Source organism: Homo sapiens, chromosome 14 (genome assembly GCF_000001405.40).
Source record: "Homo sapiens chromosome 14, GRCh38.p14 Primary Assembly".
In the NCBI taxonomy this organism is placed as follows: domain Eukaryota; kingdom Metazoa; phylum Chordata; class Mammalia; order Primates; family Hominidae; genus Homo; species Homo sapiens.
Window position 1 is genome coordinate 46,604,918 of NC_000014.9, and position 13,616 is coordinate 46,618,533.

At 34.5% G+C, this 13,616-nt stretch overlaps 1 long non-coding RNA gene across 4 annotated transcripts in view; it reads right to left on the bottom strand.

Moving 5' to 3' along the window:
- LOC105370481 (uncharacterized) overlaps positions 1-13,616 on the bottom strand; it is a 64,726-nt gene that overhangs the window by 9,294 nt on the left and 41,816 nt on the right. For 3 of the 4 annotated variants that reach the window (XR_001750753.1, XR_001750754.1, XR_943828.2), the window contains 2 exons: positions 12,780-12,875; positions 10,200-10,285 (listed from right to left, as the gene is read on the bottom strand). This is a non-coding gene — a long non-coding RNA (uncharacterized LOC105370481). The remainder of the gene's footprint in view (positions 1-10,199; positions 10,286-12,779; positions 12,876-13,616) is intronic. The other variant, XR_001750755.1, reaches the window with a different exon arrangement.

The following is a 13,616-nucleotide window of genomic DNA, read 5'->3' on the forward strand; positions in this document are numbered from 1 at the left end:
ACATCTAAAATTGACAATCATACATGTGTTCTTCAGGATTCTACATATAAAAAATTACAGTTTTACAATTCTTCTGGAGTATAAGATGTTTCGTTGTATGTCAGACTTTGCACTTATCCTCCCTGGAGCATGCTGAGATCCAACACTACAAATCTAAAAGCAATGAGATAATACACTAGGTCTTCAGGAAAATAACTTCCCTCTTGCAAGGCAACAACTTCAAGTTTGGTTATAAAGATCTTTAAGCACAGGAAGACAAGTATCTACATTCAAGTGAGAAGGGGCTGGGCTGCTTCTGTCAGAAAGGGTGAGTCAAAAGGCTTAGCAGTTTAAAATTCTCAGTTTTATTCTAATAGAACTAATGTTACTATTCCAAGCCTCAAGATCCCACTACTTCTTAATCAACGCCTCAATAATCACAAAAGAGACTTACATATAATTTCTGTAACCTATATATTTAAAATATAGGTCTGATTTTTAGCTATATATTCACTTTGGCTATAAAAATTTGAGATTAATTTAAGGTTATCACAAAGGGTCTCTGGTTCTCTGATATATTATTAACTGATCATTTAAATCCCTCAGTTTTTCATTTTCTTTTCTTAAACTCTACAGTGTAGTTAGAAACTGCAATCGTGCCTTACAGTCTTTATCATTAGAATTTCTACCATCACAGTCAAATTCAGTGGTCACTTGTTTTCTCAAAGCACTGATCTTTTTTTTTTTTTTTTTTGAGATGGAGTCTTGCTCTGCCTCTCAACCTGCAGTGCAGTGGTGTGATCTTCACTCACTGCAACCTCCGCCTGCCGGTTCAGGCAATTCTTCCACCTCAGCCTCCCAAGCAGCTAAAATTACAGGTGCGCACCACCATTCCTGGCTAATTTTTGTGTTTTTAGTAGAGACAGGGTTTCACCATATTGGTCAGGCTGGTCTCAAATTCCTGACCTCAAGTGATACGCCTACCTCGGCCTCCCAAAGTGCTGGGATTACAGGCATGTGCCACGGCGCCTGGCCTCAAAGCATTGATTTTTAACTGATTATCTTGCCCCAGACAACTTGTGGTGATAATTTAATTATTGGTGATGCTACTGCATGTGAGATTTTTGGAATACTACTTCCCATTGCCATTGTCCAGTAGCGCAGCCAAAACTGGCTTTGACTCCAGGTCAAACACAAACAAACCAATACCAAATCCTAGATTTGTGTATCTTTCTCCCTGGTACTACTCCTGAAACCAAGTAGTGTAGTATTATTGTGGTAGTACAGTACCTAGTACTATAAGTCCAATTAGGATACCAAGCCCCATTAGGTGTATCAAAAATGAATTTAATACACAAAATTGGTTAGAAAAGTATTAGGAAGCTAAAAAACCAAAAACAATGCGGGATTCATCTAGAATATTGCATAAAACAGCTACTGCCACTAGATCTGAGGGAACACAAAGGAAGAAGTGGCATGAACAGAACCTGGGACTCAGTAGGACCTACAGGGATGGTTCTTGACTCTCTGGGGAAAATGACACAGTTGATGCTCATGTATCTGAAAAAGGGATCTAAGTCAGTAAATGCTCAGTGTGAGGTTGTGTCAGTCACTCTCTAGGAGAGGAAATATGGGCCAAGATGCACTTTAATTGTCAAAGGGGTGCAGTGCTGATGTTGTTGGAACTCCTGCAGGGTCAAGGGAAGAATGCTATAAGCTGGCTGATGAAATGTACTGACCAACACTTGAAAACATGAAGATACGGGCGCCTGTAGTCCCAGCTACTCGGGAGGCTGAGGCAGGAGAATGGCGTGAACCCAGGAGCCCGAGCTTGCAGTGAGCCGAGATCACACCACTGCACTCTAACCTGGGAGACAGCGAGACTCCGTCTCAAAAAAAAAAAAAAAAAGAAAAAGAAAAAGAAAACATGAAGATAGCATCTTCTCCCATCCTTTCATCTTCCAATTTCCTGCTTGGATTTTACAATGGAAGAACGTAACTAGTATAGATGTGTTTGGCCTTCCTCTGACACAGAAGTTTGAGACACTTATTTTTCAGAGTCCTTGTCTCAGTATCACAGGGCAGAGAATAGAATAGTAAGCCTGGAGCTAAAAGACAATAGATAAATTACCAGCACTCATATATTAGCTTATTTTACCAAAACAACAATATGGTAGTATAATATCATGGTCTTTTTCTAGAAAAGGAAACTGAGGCAAAGAAAAATTAAAATACCTGCCCAAATTTACTCAGCTGATAAGTGCCAAGATTTGTTACCAAATATCATGTGTTCAAATGAAAATACCAAAATACTGTTAAAGTGCAAACAATTTTCCGATCATGATAGAAAAATGATTTGGTCTAGCTAGATGATTCCTCCAAACCATAGGCTTGATACATGCTGCATCTTGGCTATGGCTATGAGTGCTTTAAATAGTTCAATCTGGCTGACAGCCTGATTTATACATGTATTCATGCCTTTGGCATATATTATATTAATGAGAATAATACACAAAATAATACATGCTGAAAGTCGATTCAAAGGTCTGTATCTGAGTTAATAATATTATACCAACGTCAGTTTACTGGTTTTGACAATATATTATGTTTATGTAAGATACTACATTGGGGGAAGCTGGGTACTGGGTATATGGGAACTCTGAACTATTGCAATTTCTTATGTGTCTCAAACTATTGCAAAATAAAAAGTTATTTTTAAAAAGTCAACTAGAATTTCTGAACAGTGGTTAAAATTGATGTTAAAGTTGTTATGTGATAGTATGAGATTACATTGAAATATGTATTTATAAATGAAAATTAATAATGTTAAAGTTATTAACCTACTGGGTTAAAATACAATAGTGGCTACCTCTGTGCCCTTACTATTCAAGACCCAGTGCTAAGTTTTTACCAAAATGTGTAAATTTTATGTCAGTCGTCACAGCATTTCATTGATAAGGAAACCTAAGCTCAAAGATTTTTTCTGGATGACAGTACAGCTGGCAAATGCAAAATCCCATGCCATTTCATTACAATCCCTGCCTTTCACAGAATTCTAATATGTTTTTTGATTGAAGAGCTTATCTTGTCTACCTCACCAGTCAGTGACACTGTCAAATGTGACTGTATTATTTCACCCTGCTCATAAAAAAGATAGAGTTAAATATTCCATAATATGCACCGTTTCTTGTAATGACATAATATATTATACTTAACTTGCAGATTAATATATGGAATAAACCAAAACTGAACAGTTGCTTAACAACCCTTGCATCTCAAACGTTCTTAGACCACATATTTGTAGGCTTTCCTCTCTTATAACTATAAATAAACAAAACCTCTAGGAGAAATATATACCTTATGCTCAGTATTGTAATTTCTGTATTTATATGTTTGTGCAAATAAAGAGTGTTGTATTAATTGACCTGAAATGAATGGTGTTATTAAATGACCATTCTGACAAGTTTACTATTAATGCACATTGATGTTTGACAAAGTATATTGTCTTTCTTATTATCCATGTAGAGATACAGATGTATTTACAGGCTATCTAAAAAAGTCAAGTAATGATTTCATATCAAAGAAAATTATACAAATTATATTAAAATTATATAAATTATATAAAATCTTTATATTATTAGATTTAATACTGAACTTGGGAACTTGATTAATTTTTCAAATGAATAAAATGTTCATGTAATAAAATGAAACAAAATCCCATGTAAATCAGTGTTTTATTTCTTTCATTTTTATTTTAGGCTTAAGGGTAAATGTGCAGGCTTGTTATATAGGTAAACTGCATGTTACGGAAGTTTATGTACAGGTTATTTTGTCACTCAAGTAATAAGCAGAGTACCTGATAGTTTCTTTTTCAATCCTCACTCTCCTCCCACCCTCTACCTTCAAGTAGGCCCTGGTGTTTTTTGTTCCCTTCTTTCTGTCCATTTGTACTCAGTGTTTAGCTCCCACTTACAAGTGAGAACACGCAGTGTTTGGTTTTCTGTTTCTGTGTTAGTTTGCTTGGGATAATAAACTTCAGCTGTATTGTTGCTGAAAAGGACATAGTATTCCATGATGTATATGTACCACATTCTCTTTATCCTGTCTACCATTGGTGGGCATAAAGCCCAAGACCAGACAGATTCACAGCCAATTCTACAAAATGTATAAAGAAGAGGTGGTACCATTCCTACTGAAACTATTAAAAAAAATTGAGGAGAAGGGACTCCTCCCAAACTAATTATATGAAGCCAGCATCATCCTAATACCAACACCTGGCAGACACACACACACACACACACACACACACACACACACACACAAAATCTTCAGGCCAATATCCTTGATGAACATAGATGCAAAATTACTCAACAAAATACTAGCAAAGCAAATCCAGCAGCACATCAAAAGACGAATCCACCACAATTAAGTCAACTTTATCTCTGGGATGCAATGTTAGTTCAACATATGCAAATCAATAAATGTGATTCACCACATAAACAGAACTAAAAAAAGACCATGTGATCACCTCCATAGATGCAGAAAATGCTTTCAATAGAATCTGACATTCCCTTATGTTAAAAACCCTCAACAAATTAGGCATTGAAGGAATATACTTCAAAATAATAAGAGCTGTCTGTGAAAAACCCACAGCCAATGTCAACCTGAATGGAGCAAAAGCTGGAAGCATTCACCTTGAAAACCAGAACAAGACAAAGATGCCTACTCTCACCACTCCTATTGTATCTGGGACTGACAGTCCTAGCCAGAGCAATCAGGCAAGAGAAAGAAATAAAGGTATCCAAGTAGGAAGAGAAGAAATCAAACTATCCCTGTTTGCAGATGATATGATTCTATACCTAGAAAACCCCATAGTATCTGCCCAAAGGCTCCTAGATCTGACAAACAATTTTAGCAAAGTTTCAGGATACAGAATCAATGTATAAAAATCACTAGCATTCCTGTACACCAACAATGCCCAAGCTGAGAACCAAATCAAGAACACAATCTCATTCACAGTAGCCACAAAAAGAATAAAATACCTAGGGATATAGCTAACCAAGGAGGCAAAAGACCTGGACAATGAGAATTACAAAACACTGCTCAAATAAATCAGAGATTACACAAACAAGTGGAAAAATGGTGGACGTTCATAGATAGGAGAATCAATATTGTTAAAATGGCCATCCTGCCCAAGACAGTTTAAAGATTTAATGCTATTCCTATCAAACTACTAATTATGTATTTCAAAGAATTAGAAAGAAAAATTGCTTTACAATTCAAGTGGAATTTAAAAAGATACCAAATAGCCAAAGCAATCCTAAGCCAAAAAAAAAAAAAAAAAACAAGCCTGGAGGCATTACTGTACCTGAATTTAAACTGTACTACAAGGCTACAGCAACCTAAAGAGCATGTCACTGGTACAAAAGCAGAAACATAGAGCAATGGAACAGAAGACAGAGCCCCAAAATAAGGCCACACACCTATAAACATCTGATCTTCCACAAAACTGGCAGAAACAAGCAATGGGGAAAGGACTCCATATTCAATAAATGGTGCTGGGATAACTGGCTAGCCATATACAGAAGATTGAAATTGAACCCCTTCCTTTCACTATAAATCAATGTCTTATCTTACATTTTTCATAGACAGTTGGCTTTAAAGAACAAATTAAATGTCTCTGGGAATTTATAGTTAGTTTCCCCTACTTACTATGTTTTATAACAAATTTGCAAGGAAGGAGGAAAACTCTAAGATTTTAATATTATGCAGTTTGAGAATATGGACTGGGGACAACCTCATGGGCATATGCTCAGAAATTTGTTACATACTCATTCATCATACTCATTGCATCATTTATGTTGGATTACAGTTACATGTTTGATAATATGATAACCATTACACATCTGTAATGGTTTTGCAGCTTCCAAGAATAATTGATATGTGATTATACTAAGAGACTTAATGTCCCTTCAGAGTCATAATTTGTATTTTACAGCAGTTCACAATTAAAGACAAGGAAATCGAAGCTTAGGAATGTTAAATAGCAAGCACTGAGCTAAATGAAATGAACACTATGGGATAGTGTGCATGTGTGTGTGTTTAAATATGAGAAATTCTTGAGCTTGTTAATATGCCAAAGACGAGGTAGAGAAAGTTCAAATACCCAGGAAGGGGAAATGGATAAGAAATTAAGCAGACCTGCCCAAAGAATCATAAAGTGAAGTAGTCAGGGAAAAGCCTAGTTGGGTCATCTAATATTTTAGTAAAGTAGTAGCTGGAAATTTTTGCTGTATGTTATTCAGCCACTTGATGGCATTTTGTGACTTATATGTAAATCATGTTAATCTGTACAACTCTACTTAAAACATTGTTAATAATTAAGTGCATTGATGGACAGATAATAATAATGTGTTTAAAAGAGTAATAAGATTAACTCACTCTTTTGAATCTAAAGTCCAGAAACAGATAGAAACCTAATAAAGGTTGTAGAAAATATGAAAGAAATAATACATTAGGCAGACCTGGATGTGACTTTTATAGTTATTTAACTTATCTAATTTTCCTAAGGTTTGGTTTCCTCATCTCTAATGTGGAGATATCAATTTTAACTTTCACACTGGATTCTTTTAATATTAGCTGAGATACTGTATGTAAAGTGCTCAGGATAGTAAGTATTCAGTAAACTAGTATTCTGTACCTTTCCTTCTTTAGTAGCATAAAGATACAGGACATAGAGCTTAGATTTAGACCTCCTGGATCAAATTCCTGGTCCTCGATTTACTAGCTTTATGACCTTTGGGCAAATTGCTTAAACTTTCTATGCCTTAGTGTCTTCACGTGTAAACAAACCACATTTATAGAGATTAAACAAGTTAATACATGTAAATTACTTTAAAATTTTTTATTTATGTTAAGGGATATAATAAGATTCTGTCTTCTCTTCCTTATTCTTCATCTATTACTATTACCATCATCATCATCATCATCATCAGAATCAGTTTTGTAGAAGGAACAGTTGTACTAAATGTCTCATATTTCTCATCTCCTTGACCCAATACTATCTAGCTTTAGCACTCCTCTCTCAACACTTTCCTGTTCAATGTTCTTAGGATTATTGTTTCATCCTCTATTTGTAAAACCCAATGGCCTCTCTTCAGTTTTTATCTTGGTCAAATTTGGTTATCCCCTCGCTCTTATTAAGTCTCTTCTTCCTTTTTATAATTCCACCCTTGGCTTTCTTTATACCTCTAGTTGTTCCTCCTACATTATAAGGCATCTTTTTTCTACATTCACTTTCTTTCCAACATACAATGCCGGTATTAGTCAAGGACTCTGCAATTAGTTTTTCTGTCCTCACTCTGAACATTATTACTGAGAAATTCCATCTATGACTGTGGCCCCATCATCTAACATACAAATAAATACTGCAAGTCTATATCTCTTTCTAGTCTTATCATAAATGCCAAAGCCCCAGCGATGCCTTTTTTTATTCCCCAGATGGAGTAGGTCTCATAATAGTTCATATTTCTGTTAGCATTTTGACGATATATACTTATTTAAGAAAATTGAAGTACTTTTCTCAAATTATAAGTTTATTATCCTGTTTTCACACTAGCCTGTAACCTATAGAGGATTCACACTTTGTTTAATTCACCAGTGTATCACAATAACCTTCAGCATGCCAGGCACATTTCTGACATTTGGGTATGTTTGTTAACTGATCATTGAACTGAATCTGAGTTCTATAAGTGAATATCCACAACCATTTGCAAATATCAACCTGAATGTCCCAAAGGCCCCAGAAGCATAAATCCAGAAAGTAAAATTATGTACCTTTTTTTTTGGTCTCTATATATTTCCATGGAATCATTGCTTGTGCACTTATTTATGTGCAAGAAATTTCCTTTGCAATCTCTCCAAGAAATGTTCTTAAAGTTACAGCCTAAATAATAGATTTTGGAGTGAACCTAATTTTGTATGGAGATATTGAATGAATGACTGATACTGCCATTTTTTGCTTCATATGTAGCTTGATATATTGAAAGTTTTTTCCATTGATATGTTGTGAATAATCTTTTCATCAACATTAATGGATTAGTCATTGAAGGCAAGGGTAGTATATCTTTAGCATATTTTTGAATATATAGCAGGGAACCATAGAAAGGGAGATCCATTTCTATTTGACAAAGATGAGATTATACTAAAAAAAGAAACTGTTTAGAGAAGTATTGCAAGCTCTTAGACTTCCCTGGCTTCTAAGGTCACTCCACTAAGGTTATAACTCATTCCCTGACCACTGCATGAAAAGTAAACAGCATCCCCAACTCATCTATCTGTCAACAAAGCTGGGACTTCAACTTCTGAAACATTGCTATGAGCTGAATTAGGTCCCCACATTTCTCTGTAACCTTGCCCAAATATGTACCAAATGAAGGTTGAAGAAAAGATATTCTGTTGTGTACTTGAAATATCTCCATGCTGTGTCTGCTCTTTGATATAGAATTTGATGATCATTACTCTTATAGGTGTTTATAGTTTTGCTTACTCTAACCATTTCTCTCTTATTAAAGATATATCCATTTCTAAAAGCTTATATGGCTCTTCCACAGGGAAATTTCATTTTTACTGTCATCATTGTCATCTTTGCAAAAGATAAAGTTTCCTTTGATCCCCAGCTATGTATTAAAAAATACGTACATATATATTTCCTCTGCCATCTAAGAGTAGTGTGTTGTTTTAATATAAGAATTATTCATACTATAGTAAGTGTACAAAATGTCAGTGCTTTCAAGCTACATATAGTGCAAAAACCAGCAATATTAATCATTTGTTCAACAGCCCAATGGGAAATTAAGTTCATTCTAAAAATCTATTATTTATATTGTAATTACAAGAAATTTTCTTGTACCTAAATAATCAAAAAAGCAAACATCAAAATGAGGGAAAAGTGAAGACTATTTTTAAGAACGTAATCGAAAAGACAGAAAATAAGTAAAATCTTCATTTATTTTTCTTTGGAAGATAAGTTTTACTAAGGGTCACAAAATTCAAGCAGCACATTCTTAAAAAAATTGTGTGAATCTAGAATTTAGATTGTCAACTTTATAGAGGTAATGGCATTGGATTATTTCCAGTTTCATAATTAGTCGTGGCTGCTTTAAATTTATATACATATAAATGTATGTATATATATATACTTATATAATTATATATACATTCATAAAACAAATATTTGGATGATCAAATTTTATTTGTTAATTGCACTGTATATATCTGGTGCTTTTTATATCACTTCAACTGGTTTTAGTTTGAAATGCATTTTGATCTAGGCTAAAAAAGAAATTCAGGTTAATTCATCTAGTATATATTATTTCAAATTTGGGAATTAGGAAGAGATGAACCTTAAAGTTTTAATATTTATATTGATTACTTTAAATTTTTCTTTTAAAAACCCAATGCTGTGTTCTTTCACTCAGCCTGGTGCCTGGTGTCTCTCAGGGCTCTCTTTACTGCCAACATCAGCATGTTTTCTGGATGCTATTAGCTTGCAAAGCTAAGGCATTTGGGATTTACTAGAAAATAAAAATAGGTTTGAACTTGTTCATATTCACCTGCTGTTTTCAAGATGAAAACACCCAGGAAAGCAATTTGGAACTGCATAAGACATTTTTCTTTTTTTAATTTAAGGAAATTATTATATTTAATGAAAGTATGTCAGCTCAATTTTGCACCAGAGAGAAAACTACTAAGATTTAGACAGTCATGTCTTGGAAGAAGCCTAAAACGTTTATATGCTCCTATTTTTTTTTTAACCTACCGATCATGTATATGTTTAATTGAAGAAAAAAGCAACTGTATGTACAATATATTTTAACTTTTCTCTGTCCTGAGACTACACAATTTTGGTAGGTGGTTTCTAGGGAGTGTATACCACTTCTAATTCTACTGTGAACACATACTCCCCTCAAAGTGATATGATATATGGGTCAGGGAAATGAAACATATATATCTCTATATATAGATGTATCATATATATAAATCATGTATAAATCATATATAAACTTGTGTATATATATTGATTAAAGTGACACCTCCAACACCAAACCAGCTACCAACAGTGCCTGAATTACCTGCTATTAGAATTAGTCTTGGTTTTAGTTGAATTTTATATTGGATTGGCACTAGGAATTCATGTAAAACATGAGTCTTCTACTCACCAAGTTCTGGGCTCAAAGTCAGGTTTGGCTTCTTATCAACTGTTTGACAGTGGACAAGATATTTCTCTGAGATTTGCTGTATTAATCTGTAAAAATAAGACAATGACATGTCTTATAGAACTATTGTGAATCTTAGAGAACTAAGTTGAGAAGTGTCTAGCATAGTGTAGGTATATAACAGATTTTTCCTGTCTCTTTTCCTTACACATGTTTAAATATGTATTCAACATATAATTTCTTTATTATTATTATTATACTTTAAGTTTTAGGGTACATGTGCACAATGTGCAGGTTAGTTACATATGTATACATGTGCCATGCTGGTGTGCTGCACCCATTAACTCATCATTTAGCATTAGGTATATCTCCTAATGCTATCCCTCCCACCTTCCCCCACCCCACAACAGTCCCCAGAGTGTGATGTTCCCCTTCCTGTGTCCATGTGTTCTCATTGTTCAATTCCCATCTATGAGTGAGAACATGCGGTGTTTGGTTTTTTGTCCTTGCGATAGTTTGCTGAGAATGATGATTTCCAGTTTCATCCATGTCCCTACAAAGGACATGAACTCATCCTTTTTTATCGCTGCATAGTATTCCATGGTGTATATGTGCCACATTTTCTTAATCCAGTCTATCATTGTTGGACATCTGGGTTGGTTCCAAGTCTTTGCTATTGTGAATAGTGCCGCAATAAACATACGTGTGCATGTGTCTTTATAGCAGCATGATTTATAGTCCTTTGGGTATATACCCAGTAATGGGATGGCTGGGTCAAATGGTATTTCTTGGAAAAGGTTTCATGATCTCCTCTTTTTGCATCTTAATGGTAATCATTTTATTGTACCAGAAATAATTTAGCAGAAAACTGGGTTTGAAGGGTACTTAGGTACTGGAGTGGTGGAATTATAGTGATTACAAAAGACACCTCATTTACTTGGCATTTCCTTCTAGGGTTGTGTTATGCCCCTTCTAAAACTCCTCTTGCATGTAAACTTAAGACAGATGGATATCATCTCAAATTCTCCTTCTAGATTCCTATTTTCTTCCCTATGTTTAAGATCAAACTATGGTTTGCAAATATTTTCTTTCAATCTGTAGGTTGTCTTTTATTTTGTTGATTGTTTCTTTTGCTGGGCTTTCTAGGTGTTGTGCCAACAACATCAAGAAACTTTTCCATTGTGTTTTGTTCTAAGAGTTTTATGATTTCAGGTCTTACATTTAGATTTTTTATCCATTTTGTGTTGATTTTTGTATATGGTGTAAGATAATGTGTGAGATATTGATAAGAGGTTAATATCCAAAATATTCAAGGAACTCACACAACCCAATAGCAAAAACAAAACCTGATTTTTAAAATGGGCAAATTATCTAAATAGGCATTTTTCCAAAGAAGATTAAAAACATCTAACAGGTGTAAGATAAAGTGCTCAAAATCACTAATAATCAGGAAAATGCAATTATAAGCCATAATGAACTATCACCTCACATGTATGGATAGCTATTATCAAAAAGAAAAGAGATAACAGGTGCTGGTGAAGATGTGGAGAAAAGGGAACCCTTGTACGCTGTTGGTAGAAATATAAATTGGCACAGCCATTATGGAAAATAGTATATAGGTTCCTCAAAAAATTAAAAATAGAACTTCCATATGACCCAGCAATCCCTCTATCGGGTATATACCCAAAGTAATTAAAATCATCATCTCATAAAGATATCTCTGCTTCCATATTTATTGCAGCACTATTCACAATAGTGCCAGATATGGAAATCATCTAAGCATCAGTTGATGGATAAGAGAATTGTGATACATATTTTTTAAAAATAAGGAGATGTCACCATTTGTGACAACGTGGATAAAGTTGGAAGATGTTACACTAGGCGAAATAAGCCAGACACAAGGAAACAAATACTCTGTGATCTCACATATTTGTACAACCTAAAAAAAATCAAATGCATAAAAACAAAGGGTAGAAATTTGGCTACTAGGGACAGGGAGGGGAAGAAAATGAAAAGTGGTACAAATTTGCAGTTATTAGAATGAATATGTCTAGAGATCTAATATACAACATGATCACTAGAGTTAATATTGTATACTGAAAAGTTGCTGAGTATATCTTAGATGCTCTTACCACTGACACACACACACACACACACACACACACACACACACAAAGGTAACTATAGAAAGTGATTAATAGGTTAATTTGTTAACTGTAGTAACCATTTCACTATGTATATGTATACCAAAACAGCCTATTGTACATCATATATATGTATATATCTCAAACTATGTAACTTTGCCTAACAAATGAAATAGATAATGGGTAAGACATTGTGACCCTTTATGCTCCCTAAAACTTTTATGCTTCATATTTCCAAATCTGTTTTTTTAGTCTCTATTCACAGGACCAAATATTTTTTCTGGTTTATATTTTTGTGGTACTTGGCCACAGGTTGCCAGACACGCTTATTTAGGGAAGAAGCAAATCAAGACAGATTTCTTAGTCCATTCTCACACTGCTATAAAAAAACTTCCTAGGACTGGGTAATTTATGAAGAAAAGAGGTTTAATTGACTCACAGTTTCTCAGGCTGTACAGGAAGCATGGCTGGGAGGCCTCAGGAAACTTACAATCATGGTGGAAGGTGAAGAGAAAGCAAACACATCTTATCATGGCTGGGCAGGAGAGAGAGCAAGTGAATGGAGATGTGCTACACACTTTCAAACAACTAGATCTTGTGAGAACACTCTCACTATCACAAGAACAGAAAGGGGGAAATCTGCCCCCATGATCCCGTCATCTCCCACCAGGTCCCTCTCCCAACACTGGGGATTACAATTCAGCATGAGATTTGGGTGGGGACACAGAGCCAAACCATATCAATAGACAAAGGAAAAACTGTAATTGACAAAGAAGAGCTAGGAAGTGTTCTTGGAGTAAAAATTGACAAGATTCCTTTGCTTACTTTTTAACAAAGTAACAAATATTGAGTGACCTAGGTTTATTTCTATAATTCTGAAAATAATTTTCATCTTTCAAGGGAAAAAAGCCCTATAAATTAACAAATTTTATTGTTTTATACAAAATTAGAAACATTATTAAAGTATAGTGCAAGGATATCAGAAATTACTCTACCCTTCAATCTCATTAGTCTATCCAAAGAATTTATAGTCCCAGTTATGTGAAAGGTAAAGAAGTTAGAAAATATTAGCTCTTTACATTTTAATATACATGATTGAGTTTCATGATATCATGCTGTTTAAACAAATCCTCTCAAAAAAAAAAATTTGAAGCCTTTCTTCAAAAAAAATCTTTAGAGAAACCAAAAATAGAAAAGAGTGAAAACTGGAATTTCTCTTATTGAAAGAGGGAAGGATTTGAGAGAGTTTGCCCCTTGTTCCTTTACCACCTGGAGT